An 18,437-nucleotide genomic window follows, 5' to 3' on the forward strand; every position below is an offset into this window, starting at 1 on the left:
AGAGTGACATTCACACACAACTTCTAGCTGACAGTCATCGTTTCTGAACTCACATGCACTGCTCCAGCTATCAAATTTTACATGGGGTATTTTAAGGAGTTCTTTAAAAATCAAAATTCCTGGCTCTGCAGTTCATTAAGTGTGCCATTCCAAGAGATGCAACTGCCAGAACTGGTTAGTTACTATGAAGGCAGTTATCCTCTAATGCTACAAGGCAAGCATTTTAAAGCTTTATTCACATATGTGACACACACTTCAAAACTCCACACTTTCAGAGGACTTCCTGGAACCAATGTTCCAACTTAGTACTCCTCCAGTTAAACGGAAGCTAATAAGAAGCATGAAACAGTATACACTATATAAGAATGTTAGCAGAACACATGTATTGACCCTACACTAAAAAATCATAATAGCATTAAATCATCTTAAACCTCTAACACCCATTCATAAGAATACTCTCACTCTTTCATCAAAAACCACGTCATTCTGATTCATGTATAATGCTAAAAATATAAATTTTACAGAATGTCTCTGAACCTGACCTAGACACTTAAATATTTTCATAACTCCAGAAGCAAAAGGAAAACTGGCAAAAATCTCTTGACTGTGTTACACAGTCTGCTTTGAACAAACAGCCTGGATGTAAGCAGTAGGTGGCAAAGTTAAAATAGAAATGTTAATCCTATGAGAACCCTTGCCTGCTGTTTTATAGCCCTTCCTCAAGATTAAAAAAAAAAAAGAGAGATAAAGAACATAAAAACACCTAGAGCCCTAATGCTACAGAATAAAACCAAGTGCTGATTTTAAAATACATTTTTTCAACCTGTGATTTTTTTTTTATAGACAGTAGTATCAGGAATGGGTGGGAAAATAAATAAATGTAGTTTCCAGCTTAAATTTTAACAAAGTAGCAGCATTTTTTTTTACTCAAGATAAAAGAAGAAATATTAATTTTGGGCAACATAATGAATTACTGTATTATATCTACATATTAGAAAATAGCTTCTTGAAGAAGTATTAATTTTTTAAAAAATTTACAATTATCAACCAAAACAGTGACAAGCAAACTTTTTCTGTAAAAGGCCAAAATATATATATTTCTGGCTTGGCTGGCTAAAAGGTCTCTGTGGCAACTAATCAACTCTGCTTCTGTAGTACAAAGGCAGCCACAGATGAAATGTAAATGAATGGGTGTGGCTATATTTTAATAAAACTTTCTCTATGGACACTGAAATCTAAAAATCATATAATCTTCACTGCTCATGAGATATTCTGCTTTTTACTTTTTCAACCACTTAAAAATACAAAACAACATTATTAGTGTATGTACCATACAGAACATATGGTGGGCTAGATTTGGGCCATAGGTTATATTATTAGTTTGCCAACCCATAGACTAGATACCAGTAATGAAAACCATAAGAAATAAAAGGTCAGAGGACAACGCTCACTTTTCCTTCCTTACTTCCTCTTTCCCTTCCTCCCTCCATTTTTTCCTTTTCTTTTTAAATTAATTAATAATTAATTTTGCTTGATATCTGGTAACACAAAAAATAATCTGATGCAGTTTGATGGGAGTAGAAGGTCAGTATCTCAAATTCAGCCAGAGTTGTACACGATAATGGTATTGGGCTAACTGTAACAGTTACCAGGCACGGAGCCCACACAACTACCATGGAGATTCTGTAAGCTACAAAATCATTCATAATATTCAAAGTGAATATCATTACATGAAATCCTATTTGCATTCCAATGAACTGTCACATAAGTTTCCCCTATGGCATCTTCTTTGACAAATAATATCTTCATTGAGTTCCCCTGAATTTTCCATGATGATACAGAAGAAAAGCCAAAAGAGAAACTTGCTTCACTGTGCCAATAACTGGAGCATCATCATTCATTTATAACAGCTGAAGGGCTGTCTGACACTAGGGGACCTGGAAACACCCAAGAAATGTTTTCTCCTTCCCAAGACAGTTAGATATATAATGCTAGGAAATCCTGGGACAATGACCTGTGATTCTCCCCTAAAAAAGCTATTTTGTCCCTTTTAGTAACAAACAGGAAGAGAGAACTCTCTTTGGGAGAAATTTCACCAGAGTTTCACTCTTGTTGCCCAGGCTGGAGTGCAATGGCGCAATCTTCACTCACCACAACCTCCACCTCTCGGGTTCAAGCCTCAGCCTCCCGAGTAGCTGGGATTACAGGCATGCGCCACCATGCCGGGATAATTTTGTATTTTTAGTAGAGATGGGGTTTCTCCATGCTGGTCAGGCTGGTCTCAAACTCCCGACCTCAGGTGATCTGCTGGCCTTGGCCTCCCAAAGTGCTGGGATTACAGGCGTGAGCCACTGTGCCTGGCCACAGTAAATATTTTATACCAATATACTGGTTGTTAGAGACTCAGGTAAATTGAAATCATTGTTTAAAAATTATAATGCAGCCGGTTATGACAATAAGGTCCAGTGGCTAAGCGCGCTACCATCTCTTCAGTAAGATGCTGTTGGCAGGGGCAGTGTCACAGCACACACTTTCCTATTAGGATGGGATCCTCAAGAGACTCCTGTGGCTTTGTAAGCAATCATCAGTGCAGCTTCCACTACAATTAAAAACATATGCCTAAATATTGTTTTTGAAAATGACACAAGTGTTTAAATACCAAAATAAAAATTCTATGAAATGGTGCCAGAAACTTATGTGGTAAGAAAAGCCAAAGAATTTGTGCAAAAGTATGCTTCTTACTGTCTTCTATGAATAAATACTGCTGAACAGTTCATAATGGCTTAAAATTCCACCCATGAACTCTACATCTTTTATGGAGAAAATACACATATTTCATGTAGATTTTCATGAAAAAAAAAAAAACCAACCAACTTGGCTGTGGCATCAAAGTCCACCTTTAAGACAGGCTTCACAAGAAAAAAAAGAGAAAACAGTCATCTTTTCTGGGTAATATGAGACACTGTGGAGAGGTAATATTCCAAATTAACACGTAGCCTCAGGAAAAAGAAAACTGTTTTTCTAACACAAACTCTAAGTTGAATGATCTGAGCTAAGGCTAAAAGCAAATCTTTGTAGTCACTTACATGAAGGCTGTATCTGTAGAGAACAAACTTTATATGCAAATGAAGATTAGCTTTTACAGTCACATTTATGAATTCATATTACACGAGTAACAATGGACATAGTTATGATTTTCAATTTATCTTGACAAATATTTATTGAGTTTATCAGGTACTGTGATATGCCTAGAGAGAAATTATATAGCAAAGAGAGATTGAACTTTGAGAGAAATGTGCAGTAATGAATACAAATATGGGAGATTGGATTAACTGCTCGGTGGAGAGTTTTCAAAGAGGATAAACTGAGTTTGAAGCATGATGTTTGAAATGTTAATGGGTTATACAATGTGTGTTATCCAACAGTCAACTGTACATGAAAACACTGAGCATAGGAAATGGTAAGGAATAACAATATACATTTGGGATTTGTTTGCACAGAATGGATAATTAAAGCCAAGTGAATGAATGAGATGGACATGGAGTATCTTAAAAAAGGGGACCATAAGGCCAGGCACAGAGGTTCATGCCTGTAATCCCAGCACTTTGGGAGGCCAAGGTGGGTGGATCACGTGATCAAGAGATTGAGACCATCCTGGCCAACATGGTGAAACCCTGTCTCTATTAAAAATACAAAAATTAGCTGGGCATGGTGGCATGCGCTTGTAATCCCAGCAACTTGGGAGGCTGAAGCAGGAGAATATCTTGAACCCGGGAGGCAGAGGTTGCAGTGAGCCGAGATCGTGCCACTGCACTCCAGCCTGGGTGATAGAGCAAGACTCCGTTTAAAAAAAAAAAAAAAAAAAAAAAAAGGTGGGGGACAATAGACAGACCCTCAGGGAATACCCACATTCATGGGCAGGAGGAAGCCAGCTAAGAGGGAACCACTAGGAGGAGAGGAGAATCCTCTGACACATGACTGAAGCAATAGGTAAAGTGAGATTCTCCAATGCCAACTGATGCAAATAGGAGAGAGAGGTATTTCAGTGGTTAAAAGCCTATATTTTTCTTATCATGAGACCATGTAAGACCTTGACAAAATCTGCAATACAGCAGAGGTGGCAGTGGGTGAAGATGGATATTTAGTTTCATAACCTGGCAAGGCTTCTAAGTTGAGGATTCAGTGGAGGATGAAATGGAAGAATCAAGTGAGTAAGAATATAATTGATAACAAAAGTCCTGGAGATGGTAGGATGAGATATAAATTGAGAGCAGAGTGAGGAACAGTTATTCTGGGAAGGAAGGATTATTCCTCAGATGTCAGGCAGGCAAAGAGAGGAATAGTGAAAACTCAGATATGTCCAACCCGTGGGAAAGGATGCCAACCTAGGATGCCAAAAAGGATAACAAATGTAGTAGCACATTTTAGAAGATTCTCAGTCTCAGACCATAAAGCTGAAATTATATGAAAATGAAACATTCAGATATGGGGTTTTCAAGAATAAAAAAAGGATAAAATAAAAACCTTATCTTAGCACACTTTGGAAATTTTATTTAGCCAAGAAAAAGTACCCACATCTTAAACTGATTGAAGTACGAGTGCAATTTATCCCTTGATCCAGAACACATATTCCACCACTGCCATATTTTATAATGACTTTTACAGACGTGTTGTCTCTTTCCTAATAAACTACCTAATTTCATAAAGTATTTCTAAGATTACAACAAGACGTTATTGTAAAGAGTGTTATTGTAAGTGAAGAGATTTCATCAGTTCCTATAAGGTAGTTAGGGATGTTTGAAAATACATTTTAAATTACTGCCCGACCGACAAGCCAGGGTGTGAAAGACGTGAGTAGTGGTTCCTAACTTTAGCGTGCATCAGAATTACTTAGAGGGCTTGCGAAAACACAGATGAGTGGGTTTCATCCCTAGAATTTTGGAAGAAGCACCTCAGAATTTGTATTTCCAACAAGTTCTCAGTGATACTGATATTACTGGTCCAGGGACCACACTTTGAGAACCACTGCTCTATAACATACAATGCTAGTTATTCCCTATCATGTGGGTCTATAAACAAGCACATTTTCATTCAACTTCTATCAGAGTAAACTGATAGAATTTGTAGATGTATTAAAAGAGTGCCATCAATATTTTCAAAAAACCTGTCTATATTTGAGTCACATTCACTTCCAAATGTTATATTGAGTATGTTATCTGTCATTATCATTATCCTTAGAAAATGGCTTCATGTATTGATTAAGAAGTCACAGAGTCTGTTTCAGTTGAAAGGAACACTTACCTCCATGGCTTATTAAATAAGGGCTAAACCAGCTTCGGTTATGTCTAGATGCAACTCTAGTACTTAATCATTGCTTTTTTCTTTTTCCATTGAGACAAGAAGAAGTTTTTCACAAAGCTGGTTCATTTCCAGTTTGGATGGAAAGTGCAGCAGAGAAATCATACAAATATCTTGTAATGACAAATTGCCAAGAAAATCATATAGCCCTACCTACATATATATATTATATAATGTATATATCTCTATATATATTCCTCACAAGAACTCTATAATTTACTTTATTAGCTTCATTTTACAGATGTGAAACTGAGGCAAAAAGAGATTAAATATCTCACTAAGGGCTAGACAGACGTAATTATTGGAGTTTTTCTAGTTTCAAGATCATGGCCCTTACCTACTACCTATATTTAGTACATTCTTTTACTACACATTAAAGCATATCTTGGGCTCAAATATTTACCTGTTCCGAGAAACAGGACATGGTATCTCCCATCAGCAGCGTTCACTCGATCCACAGCTATCTTTGTATACTTGTAGTCAGTGCCAATACGAACAATCAAAGGCCTTTTGTGGATTGGGTAGATGGAATTGTACATGAGAGGATGGTTCCGAATAAAAGTGACAACATCATCTGGGAACTCCTTGGTGGTTCGCATATTGGGTGTAAATGCTCCTCCTGGACACTAGAAAGAAAGTTTTAAAGAACCAAGTTAATAAAATAGTTGTCTTGTTCTAGTAATAATCAAAAACTCTCTACTTTTGAAATCACTTAGAAGCTCCAGTTGTTTTAAGTATATCTGCTACCTATGGAAGTGAAAAGAAATAACATGATTATGTTTTACTATCTGTAGATGATTAGTACAGTGTGTATTAATTTTGAATCAGGCTAAGTCATTGTATGTTATTCTGTTTTCAGAGAAGAGCTGATGCCATCTTGTATATGAGATAACTCTTCACCCTTCTCACTCACCACTTTTCTATTTATTTTGTCCCAGACACCATTTTGTTCAGAAAACAAAAACTAGTGGACACAATCTAATGCTGCCACTTGTTAAAATAAATTATATTATTATCATTAAATTCAGTCAAACTCTGACATGTAAAAGTTTTATTTCATCTGATCTGCCCTCCCAAAAGAGAGCTCAGAAATTGGAGCTTAGGGGCTTAGGTGGCTCAGGCCTGTAATCCTAGCACTTTGGGAGGCTGAGATGAGAGGATGTTGAAGCCAGGGGTTCAAGACCAGCCTGGGCAACATAGCAAAATTTCATCTCTGGGAAAAAAGTTAAAAATTAGCTAGGTGTGGCTGTGCATGCCTGCGATCCCAACTCCTTGGGAAACTGAGGCAGGAGGATCTCTTGAGCCCAGGAATCTGAGGCTGCTGTGAACTGTGATGAAACCACTGCACTCTAGCCTGGGCAACAGAGTGAAATCCCACCTCTATAAAAAAAGGAAGAAGAAGAGAAAAAAGGAGGAGGAGGAGGAGAAAGGAGGAGGAGGAAGGAGAAGGGGAGGAGAGAAGAAGAGAAGAAGAAGAAGGAAGAAGACAGCTTAGATTGGATGTGTTAAATTAAATCTGGTAACTCCCCTCTATCAAAGATCCCATTCATTATCCTTAGAATAAAATACCAACACCTTAGAATGGCCTACAGGCCTCTGCATGATCTGGCCTGAGCCAGCCCCTCCTACTGTAGGTCTTGCTGCTCCTGAGCCTCAAGCATACTTCCCCTCCAGGATCTTAGCACCTGCTCTTCCCTGTCCGGCATACTCCTCTCCAGAACACCCCATTTCTGTTACCTCACATTCAGTTCTCAGTTCAAAAGTTGCTTCTTGAAAGTGATGACATATAAAAGTAGCTCCCCTTCTCCATCTTTACTTTCTGTCTCCTTGGCCTGCTATTTTTCTTCACAGCCCTATTTACCTAACAGTATATTATGTATCAGTTGCTTGCATCTTTATTGTCTGTTTCTCCCTCTAGAACTGCCTGTTTCTCCCTATAGAATGTAAGCTTGTGCTGACTGTAACTGGGTCTATTTTGTTATTGTTTTGCCATCAGACTTATAACAGAGCTGGTTAGTAGATAATCACCAAAGAGTAGTTGAATGAATGCATTATATCATTGATTGTATCTGGCCTGAATGAATGCATTATATCATTGATTGTATCTGGCCTGCAATTTTGGTGCCGGGTCTGTATGAAACAGGGGCCTCAATTCTGGCCAGGAGGGAAAAGTTTCAGAGCACTGAGTCCAAGGGGGCAGGCAGAAAACAAGAACGAGATCTGGAGAAAGGACTGCTGAACAGCGTCAGCAGTTCTGGCAAGGGAACCTGACAGGGCTTCTGAGGAGAAGATTCCATTCGTAGGGCACCTAAGGCCAAACTTAAGGGTAGGCTGGGAACTGCTGAAGCCAGAACTCAAACTCACTCACTAATTGGATCTGAGTGTTAAGTTATATGAGAAAAACCATTGGGTATAATATTTTAATACATACAAACATTATTACTATTAATAATGTTATTAAATACCTGTCAATATTAAATTCCTGTCGATATCTCTACTTCCAGAAACAAAAACACTATATTTTTCTTGAAACACACAGCACTATCGTGTTGGTTTTCATTTATCCTCTTTAGAGAGGTATGTGATAAAAGGAAAGTAACAAAGCAAGCTGCCTGTTTGATAGCAATAGGCACAGCATCAGTCATAAATAGCAGGATGCAATGGGGACTGTGACAAACTGGGGAGTTACGTGTTATCCAAAGATGGCAATGAACACTTATCCAGCTGACTGCTTCTAAGCAGGAATAAAATCCTCGTGCTTCCAGACCTCAGCAGAAGATAGAATGTGGAATTTTATGTAAAATCTGCCAAGTGTTTAATGTTGACTCAGTAAAAAAAGAACAGCAACATGGGGGGCCAAACAAAATATGACAATCTCCAGGTTAAATCCCTGCAACAGCTGTCCAACAGTATTAGTGCCTTTGGGCCAATGTTGTCAGGCAGGCCTCCACGTGCAGCTAGATCTCAGCAGATTACTAATATTATCTCACTCATTTAGACTGCAGCATCATGAGTGCAATATTGAGACTTACTTTGACCAGTTAACATTACCAGACTAGAACTTTTTACAGATCTGATAAATATAGTTCCCTTTTTGTAGAAAGGTACAAGGAGCAATTAAATGACTTAAAAGAGTAGCAGTAATGAGACAAGTAATAAAACGAAACCTCTCATTCTTTATTCCATTAACTAGACTTTCATCTGGAGTTCATATGTTTTTATTTTTTAAAAAGTATTATATTTAAATACACATTTACAAACTGCTCACAACAAAGACCAAAATGAGGACAAAAAATTTAATTTGAGGTTGTTCTAAGCTGATGAACGTGTTCCATACTTCTGCAAAATATAGAATTATGGGTGTTTTCTAGCCTCAATCTTCACACAAAGTGGAAAAAGGGAAATACATTGCTCACTGCATGAAAACATGGAAAGAGCAATGCATGGGTAATTTAAATAGTTCCAGAACTTTATAAAACACCGCTAATGATGGCTTGCTAAACTGAAATGTCTCCTTAAGTATTTGCAAGCATTCTCGTTTCTGAGTTCTGGAAAAATCAAAGTTAGCATATATTACTAAACAATTTACATAATTTCCAGTTAGTACAGTTTGATGTGAGACAAGCTTATTAAATGACCAGTGCCTAGTCTCTGGCTTTTACTTAATGGTAAATGAAATCCAGGTTAACAATTATGTCAAGGTTGCTCAAAACCATAGTTATTAAATAGGTAATCTAAACAAATCAAATAAGTTACTTTGCATTCATTAAAATATTCTCCACAAGACTTTTTTTAATACTCCCATGAATTTATCACCTAGAAACAAGTGTCTCCTAGTATATGTTCAAACTTACCAAACAATTCTTTTTGATAATAATTATTCTATTGATTCATGCCATCAACTCTGCTGATAAGACAGACAATGAGTGCTAATAATGTAACACAAACACAAATTGATTGCCCTTTGTAGACTCTGTCTGCACTGAGTTTGCTCAGTGTCATACTGCCAAGAATAAATCAGATGTGATTAACTTTTCTCTCACCTTGCAAAATAATAAAACATGTTTATTGAAACTTCAAGATAACATAACATCTATGTGCTAACGTAAAATATTTGTCCACTAACTAGGCTGGTGTTTCATTCTTTAGAACATTAATTTTACTCTGCAAATAGTCATTAAGTAATTTTGGTTAAACTTCTCCTTTAAATGTTTTTCCTCAGTTCTTCCAGCTATTTGTTTATCAAGCAGTGATAAGCCCTCCTTTTTTGAGTAAAGACATTTCAAGTGCTCTGATTACTAAAGTGTGATATGAAATGCTAGGAACAATAAGAATGCCATGTTAGGAAAGTAACAGCAATTGTCCTTACCAAACTTGCTTCCTATACTCAGGTATTCATAAATATCTGCTGCCTTCTGAAGTTTCTAAATGTTCTCTTAATCTTCACGTCCATTAGGTCAGTTTTCAGAATATACTTATATGTTAATATACGTATCCATTACTTGAGCATATTTTATCCAAAAAGCACTTTGATGTGCCCAGTAGGGGACACAAGAATAAAAAATTACTGTTATCTTCAGACACAAGTATTCTAGTAAGAAAGATAGACATATTCAAAGCAAAATAACAATATTATGACAAAAAGTAATAATTTGAAACAAATGTAAGATAAACAATCAATTTTGGTTTAGGATCAATTTCCCTACATACTCAAGAGGCAATATTTTTAAAACAAGTTTATAACAGTGGAGAACTTACAGCTGCCAAGGTCAGTGAAGAGGTTTAGGGATGATAAAACAAAATTTAGAGTATTTAGAGAACTGTAATTCGTAGGGCATGGCTGGATCATGGAGCCCAAAGTGAAGGAAGGAGGTAGGAGGTGAGGCTGAAGACAGATTGCAGAAAATAAATGCAAAACTAGGCTGAGAAAGAGTGACTAGCACGGTCGAGGGGATCTTAACCTAACACGTGGGGGATGAGTGGTATATAGATAAATAAAGGGTCTTGGTGGCACTCTAGAATCTATGCTTATTTCTAGTACTGGTCTATGAAATTTGTATACTGAGAAAAACTCATTTTATGTTTCAACCTTGGTAATCCAAGCCCTTTGTCTGAAGCCAAAAAAATTACATAGTTGAAGACTTGTGCTTATGTATTAGCTGACCCTCATCTTCCTTATATTTGCCTCCCCTACATATAAAAGCCCACTGCTCCAGTCCTACTAACCCACACAGAGCTTCGAAAAATCACTTATTCATTTCCATCTGTGTCTTGTAGTGTATGCTGTACCCTTCATCTGAAAACCCCTTCCTTCCTTACTCAATTTATCCACGTCCAATCACCCTAGGGCAAGCTCAATCTCACATTTTTTAATCCCTTTTCAAATCAGACTGTTTTACTACAATCTCTCTCTCCTCTAAACTTTAATAATATTTATTTTAAAAATTTTATTCACGTTTTGAATAATGATGTGAGACGATGTAATTAATTTTTCATGTCTATGTCTTATGCATTCAATTTTCTTAGAAACATTCCTAACTGAATGTTTTCAAACATCTAAGAGAAAGAGAAATACTCTAATGTAAGCACAACCAGAAGACGTATGTAATCAACAAAACTGCCAACAATGAACTTCTCGTATCCTTGCCACTACTGACTATGTGGCTCATCAATTTTCTGTGATCCTTTGCATGTACCCGACCTGTCCAAGGCATGATGATGGAAGCACATGACTCTGTTATACTTATAAAGAGATGTTAAAGTTGAACACTTTCATTAAGTTCTGCTTTAACAGGATATACAACTATACAAACAATCTCCTGCAGAAGCTTTATACATGTTGCAGCAGAATAATGTAATATGTTTGCTCGGCCACAGAGTTTTCATTCTTTGGCTGCCCTTTGCAACATACCAAAAGTGTCTTGTTTCTTCCACAAACTTGAATTACTTACGGAAAAATATAATGACACAATTGGCAGGCTTCTTCCTACTGACTTGGGCTTGCTGGTGGGGTCGTTTGCTAACAGAGCTACCAACCGTGTTTTAAAAGAAGCACCTACAGGGAACATTAGAACGAGGGTATGAGATTTCTGCCAGTCTCATTTCTTTAAGAACACAGCCATATATTTATGGGGTTGACTGGGCAACCATACTACTGTAGGGGGAAATAAAGTAGGAAAATCACAGTTGATCCTTCATTGGGAGGACTTCAGAAGCAACATTCTTAACCTTAGAGAAGAGAGAATACTTTGGATTACTTGGCTGCAGGTGGTTCGGCTACATGAGACGATATTAAACCCTGGAAGTGCAACGAAGAGACAGACACTGCCACTCTTGAGTCAGAGAGCTGACTTCATGGTGTTTTGCTGGTTGAAGGGTGGAGGGACAGAATCTTCAGGGAGGTACGCTTTTCCAGGAGGAGTTCCAAAGGTCACTCCTACCCTGCCTCTTTTATTCTCTAAGGATCACTCATCTGACAATTTTTTGATTTAAAGGAGCTGCTCTGGTCTCAACACCAGATGTAAGAAACCACATTATAGAAATATTTCTCAAATCCTGACTACTCCCTTTTTTCACGGAGTCTGTTGCAGATGTGTGTTGCTAACCCTGGCTTACTCTACACTGCTTTGGAACAGGAAACAAATGGTCATTCTTGAGAGCTAAAAAACAGTGAAAAGTGGGACTGTTAGCAGAATTTTCTAATTTAGCATTGGTTTATTCTGTTTTACTAAAAAGGGTTTAGTATTCCTACATTTTATGTAGAACAATTGCTGCCTGACATGAATGGTTTTCTCACAGTGATGCTCTGAGTTCTATACACCTGTTAAGGTGCCTTTTAAGTTGTCACGTGGGTGAAGAGCCTGATGAGAGGTAAGGTCAGAGGTCACTTTGCATGAGGAAAAAAAAAATCTCCCTGATTTGTAGCATTTGACAATTTCCATGGTGTAGATAGTTCCATGATGGCTGATTTCAAGTTACCACTCTAATGTTCTTAATTGAGAAGAGGTGTACATTATCTGCTCTTGTAACCTGGGTCCATGCTGGCTCCAGCACAGACTGCATGAGGCTCTGAGGCCTCAAACCCTGATTCAAGCAGCATGGCTCTCTTTTATCTTTTTAATATCTTTATTTGAAGGGTTTCTCTTAAGTTTTTTTAGGGGGAACAGAATTTTGTTTAGTTTGCAAATCAACTGCTCCTGTACTAACCCCATTTATATGCTGCTCAAAAGAATCACTGATGAAAGCACACGTAATCACAACCACCTCTTAATTTTCCATATTAAGATGAGTCTATGACTAGGTCAATTTCAAATAGCAAGTCACTCTCAAAAGTATATTTTTCTCTGAAAATGCATAAAATATGTTGAGTAAAATAATAACAGCCTTTGATATATAACGGAATTTGAAAGTTGTTCAGCCTCCCCTTCCTTTTCTCTTAAATAATCTCTGCTTCTTATCCAGCACTCCCCAGTCTTTTTTTGTTTTTGTTTTTGGAGACAAGAGTCTCGCTTTGTCGCCCAGGCTGGAGTGCAGTGGTGTGATCTCAGCTCACTGCAAGCTCCCCTCCCGGGTTCACGCCATTCTCCTGCCTCAGCCTCCCAAGTAGCTGGGACTACAGGCGCCCACCACCACACCAGGATTCCCCAATCTTAAAACGGCTGTATCTGCTGATGCTTTTCCCTGTTTTATACAAGATTAATGTTCTGTCCATCTTCTTTAGAGCTGCGAACATCAAAGAGAGATCATCTTAAAGGATAATATAAATTCTGTGACAGGACTTTGTTGTCACTTATAATTAAGAATGACCTAAAAATTTAATCTTTTTATGAATAAGAAGCAATTCTCATAATTTTTCCAAAGTTAATTAAAGATCAATTGTTCCACACAAAATACATATAAATGATTAAACTTTGAGCTTCCTAGCCAGGAACAAAACTTAAGCTTTAAAATTTTTGGAATAAAATATGCTCTTTAAAGGCTTAGCAAACTGTATCTTCAATTTTCAAAAAATTAACATTGGTATAATTTAAGAAGAAAATAAAGGAGCAAACAATATTGCAAATAAACTCTAATAAGAAAAATAAAATGAATCAACAATTAGTAAAAATTATATGGGATAATTATTTGGAAGAATATTAGCAAAGATAATTTCAAATTCAAGAAAAAAGGAACACCTTGTTTACATAAATGTATCTTTTGATTTTTAAAATAAATTCATTGTTCATATTTATCCATTTTATAATTATAGCCCTATTTTATGAAATACAGAGATATAAGATTATATTTCTCTTAATGTTCAATTATATAACATCTCTCGGTGTACTGTCTGACATTTTAGAAAAAAAAACTAATCAACATTCTAGAAGGCAGCATTATTATAGGCCAGATGAGAAAGAAAGAGTAGGACTGTTATCAATGGACCCTTAGAAAAATTCCGGTTCTAATATTCCAGTGCACTGTCTGTATCTTCAGCTGGAAAACTGAGTTTTCAATGTATTCCTAATACTACTAATATTGCATGATATGGATATAGCTACCAGCTTTAATAACAGTACTTCTAGTTCAGACCATTCCTAATTAGAAAGCTGCCTATAGTTAAATAGTTCTAATCTGTGTTACTTCAGTTACAAATATTTTATTTTAAAAATTACATCTCATTTGTTGTAATTATTTGCTTACACATACATTTTCTTCCTATGAGATATATGTAACACAATTTCTATCTAAATAGATTCCTAGAAATGGAACTATCTCTATGTGAAGTATCTCTAAATTATTTCTCACATGGTTATTCCTTAATTAAAACAGATATTCAGGCCGGGTGCGGTGGCTCACGCCTGTAATCCAAGCACTTTGGGAGGCCAAGGCGGGCGGATCACGAGGTCAGGAGTTCGAGACCAGCCTGACCAACATGGTGAAACCCTGTCTCTACTAAAAACACAAAAATTAGCCGGGCATGGTGGTGCATGCTTGTAATCCCAGTTACTTAGGAGGCTGAGGCAGGAGAATCGCTTGAACCCGGGAGGCGGAGGGTGAGGTGAGCTGAGATTGCACCACTACATTCCACCCTGGGCAACAGAGTGAGACTCCGTCTCAAAAAAAAACCCCAAAAAACCCCACAGATATTCATTACCTGTTAAATGAGTTTTTATAAAGCATCATAACAAAGAATTTTCCCTGGATACTTACAGTTCCAGGGCGAGGATATGGAATTCTGCCCTGATAGGAAATCAGCTGATGATTGGGCCCTTCTTTGTGGGCAAAAGGCCCATTAAACACAGTCTGTATATCAGATAAATGATACACACACACGGCTGATCCTTTGAAAACTGAGCTAAAAAAGAAAACAGAAAAAGGCATTTTCAAATTTTTAAAATTAAAATACAATTTAAAAAATATATGGTAAAATTTATGATAAAAAGTTAATATAATCCACCATAGAAAAGTTAAATGTTATCGAACACATGTGAAAAGCTGAAAAACTTTGAAAAAAGGTATTGATACATAAAGCATTACAATACTCAATTCATCCATGGAGTCAGTAGACAATAAGTTATAGTAAAGTCCTTTTCAATGTTTCCAAAATACAGGACAACTCAAAAAAGTTTCTAACTAGTTCATCTTAGCAGCAAGAAAGTATACTGATGATTTTATTTAAAAATATGAATTTGAATTCCAAATCACTATCAATATAACCTATCACAATTTAACTCAAAGAGATGAATCTCATTAATAATTGAACACCATATCTTTTTGTGTTATGATTATTTTAATATGAGAGTGTTCTCACATGGTATCCTGAATACTAGTTGGAGAAGTCTATGTTGTCACGGTTTAGGTACTTCCCCTGTTGGTCACAGAACAAAAAATAGGGGCCCAAAAAAAATTCATTAAACCATCTTTAGTCAATGACACCTCATAAAATTTGTTTGAATCTTTAGTAAGAAATATTTCCATTGTCCTATGGCAGGTTGGCTGAAATCAGTATTTCTCTGACTCACATATTTATTTCAAATTAGACGTCTAATGAAAAAAGGTGCATTCCCATAAAAACAAGTAAGATACATTGTTAATCATTAGTATCAATAGGCAGAATGATGATTTTGAATTTTTTGATATTAAAGTTACAGGTACTGGAAAAAACAAAACAAGAAAAATCGTTTTATTGAAAACAACATTTTCTTAAGAATTTGATTTTTTTTCTTTGTTCAATTCTTTGTGAGTTAAATCAAGACTACTTAGAACAGGAGTTAAACTCATCCTTAAAGACATCTTTTTAGACATCTTGTGGGGCAACTGCAAATATTTAAAAACAACTTACTTGTAAATTTCTTTTTCTTTGAATAGCTCATTGCAGTTTACAATTATACTATGTTTTCCCATTAAAGAAAAAAAACAGCTAAAACCTTTAGATTTTTGCTTTGTAGTTGATTGTCTAATCAAAGGGACCCATTATCTTCCACAGTGGCTGAGTTACAGCTTAACTCTAAGGAATATGCCTACTATAAAATTAATAAAGAAAAATATGAGCAAGATTAAAAAAAAGATTTTTTATCTTGAAATACGTACTTTAATTAGCTTGGGCATCCCAGAGAAGTGAGAAAACATTAAACTAATTTTCAAATACATAAAATAATCTCACATAGAATAAGAAAATTGGCCAGGCACGGTGGCTCATGCCTGTAATCCCAGCACATTGGGAGGCCCAAGTCAGGCGGATCACGAGATCAGGAGTTTGAGACCAGCCTGACCAACATGGTGAAACCCTGTCTCTACTAAAAATAAATAAATAAATAGAAAAATTAGCTGGGTCTGGTGGCACATGCCTGTAATCCCAGCTACTTAGGCGACCGAGGCAGAAGAACTGTTTGAATCCAGGAGGCGGAGGTTGCAGTGAGCTGAGATCATGCCATTGCACTCCAGCCTGGGCAGCAGAGCGAGACCCAATCTTAAAAAAAAAAAAAAATGGCCGGGCGCAGTGGCTCATGCCTGTAATCCCAACACTTTGGGAGGCTGAGGCTGGCGGATCACGAGGTCAGGAGATCAAGACCATCCTGCCTTGAACATGGTGTAACCCCACCTCTACTAAAAATACAAAAAATTAGCCAGGCGTGGTGGCGGGCGCCTGTAGTCCCAGCTACTTGGGAGGCTGAGGCAGGAGAACGGCATGAACCCCAGAGGCGGAGCTTGCAGTGAGCCGAGATCGCACCACTGCACTCCAGCCTGGGCAACAGAGCGAGACTCCATCTCAAAAAAAAAAAAAAAAAAGACAGAAAAAGAACATTGGTTCAGTGTTTTGTCAGGTCCTAAATAGTCATCACTTTACTTCAGAAGTAAAAAGTATTTTTACTGAAATGCGTAATTGTTTCCAGCTTTCCTAAGGTATAATTGGTATACAAAAAAATACTGTACACAATTAATTAATGTATACAATGTCGTAAGTTCAGACATATGTATACACTTGTGTTACTGTCACTACAATCCAGGTGATAAACATTTATTACCTCTGATAACAGCAACCAAAAAAATGCCAAAAGTTTTATTTGCTCACAAGTGCTCAAATTATTTTATTGAAAAAATCACGTATTTTTTCCTACATTATAATTCATTATTTTGATTTGTTTGATAAAAATATCATGCAATCATTACAAATACTCTCTACAAAAGTATTTGGAAAGCATTAGTTTAGCTCCAATATATTTTGGTAATCAGGCAAAAGTAAATAAAATGGAAGGATTACATCCCAAATGACATGTAAAATTAAAAGTTGCAGAGAAGAATGCTTTTATAATAATTACTGTTACTCCATGAAGTTTATTGTTTAACTCATAAAATGTAACTGTTGAATAATTACCTTGATGTTGTAAAAATGCCATACACTAGTGTTGTCCTCGGGTTATCAGTTTCCAGCAGAAACACATCCTCTATAAAAAGGAAAATATTCTTTTAAAGTTTCTAAATATTAACTTCTTTGTTTTGAAAAATTTACCCTAAGAAAATAATTTCAACTCTGAAAAGTACTCTGCAAAAAGATATTCCTGTACCATTATGGTAATTTGGAAACAAATAATGATAGAAACACTAAATTAAATTAAATTAATACAGATACTAATGGAATTTATGAAAATTTTGTATCCTTGTGAAAACCATGCTAGTAAAATAATATTATGGGGAAAAAGTACAATGATATATTACATAATATGGACTAGAACCATATTAACCTTAAAAATATCCATCAGAATATAAGAATAAGATTAACAGTGAGTGTTACAAGAGGCAAAGCTGTAGAAATATTCTGGTGCTTCTTTCTAAATATCCTTTAATGTTAATATATTACTGTTTTAATTAAAAAAATTACAAATCTCAATTTCTTTTTGATCTAATCTTAGGAGCTGGAAGATGGAATAAAACTTTTTCACGGTAACTCATCTTACCATCAAATAGAACTTTTTGTGGCATATGGTCAAAATTGCTAGTGATACTTTTATTTAATGATAGCTCCTCTAACAAAAAGATGTTTAAAGTGTAGTAAGGCAAAAACAAAAGTATGCACAGTGAAGTGATAAATAACAGAATATGAAAGTAGATTTCTGATAGAAAACTCCAATTAATAATCAATTGCCATGATTATATGAAAGGCCCAGACATAGTGACAATCTTGCTAACAGAATTATTACTGAGAAACACAAAGAAATATGTATTTATTTTAAATTAAAAATGAATTTAAATGACCTCATAAGCAATAAATTTATAACCACTCAAACAACAAATTAACAATCACTAGTCCTTCCATATGTGAATAAAGGCTGACAATGTCTAGCTCTCCCTAAAAAAAAAAGAAAGACTGAAACATAAAATATATTCCCAAACATTCAGGGGAGTAGAATGAGCAAGTAGCCTGTTTCACAAAATGATACTTAGAACTTTTCTCTAGAAAAGCTTATCTAGAAACTTTTGTTCCATAATCAACATAATGGTTTTTGATCAGAAGAACGATATAGTTCATTACTATTAGAATCAGTAAATTTTTTCCACATGGTAACACAGATTTATAACTTATCACCTGTCTCAAAATCTGA

General features: G+C 36.1%; 1 protein-coding gene and 1 long non-coding RNA gene across 4 annotated transcripts in view; both read right to left on the reverse strand.

The window, feature by feature from the left end:
* Window positions 1-18,437, reverse strand: part of SEMA3C (semaphorin 3C) — a 179,852-nt gene that overhangs the window by 41,007 nt on the left and 120,408 nt on the right. For all 3 annotated transcript variants that reach the window (NM_001350120.2, NM_006379.5, NM_001350121.2), the window contains 3 exons: window positions 17,213-17,282; window positions 14,548-14,692; window positions 5,762-5,984 (listed from right to left, as the gene is read on the reverse strand). In NM_001350120.2, coding sequence (NP_001337049.1) covers window positions 5,762-5,984; window positions 14,548-14,692; window positions 17,213-17,282 — 438 coding nt within the window. The remainder of the gene's footprint in view (window positions 1-5,761; window positions 5,985-14,547; window positions 14,693-17,212; window positions 17,283-18,437) is intronic.
* LOC124901686 (uncharacterized) lies at window positions 8,561-14,239 on the reverse strand. The gene is made up of 2 exons (XR_007060403.1): window positions 11,310-14,239; window positions 8,561-9,949 (listed from the first exon to the last, which is right to left on the reverse strand). It is a non-coding gene; the product is annotated as an uncharacterized LOC124901686 (long non-coding RNA).

Source organism: Homo sapiens, chromosome 7 (genome assembly GCF_000001405.40).
Source record: "Homo sapiens chromosome 7, GRCh38.p14 Primary Assembly".
NCBI lineage: Eukaryota > Metazoa > Chordata > Mammalia > Primates > Hominidae > Homo > Homo sapiens.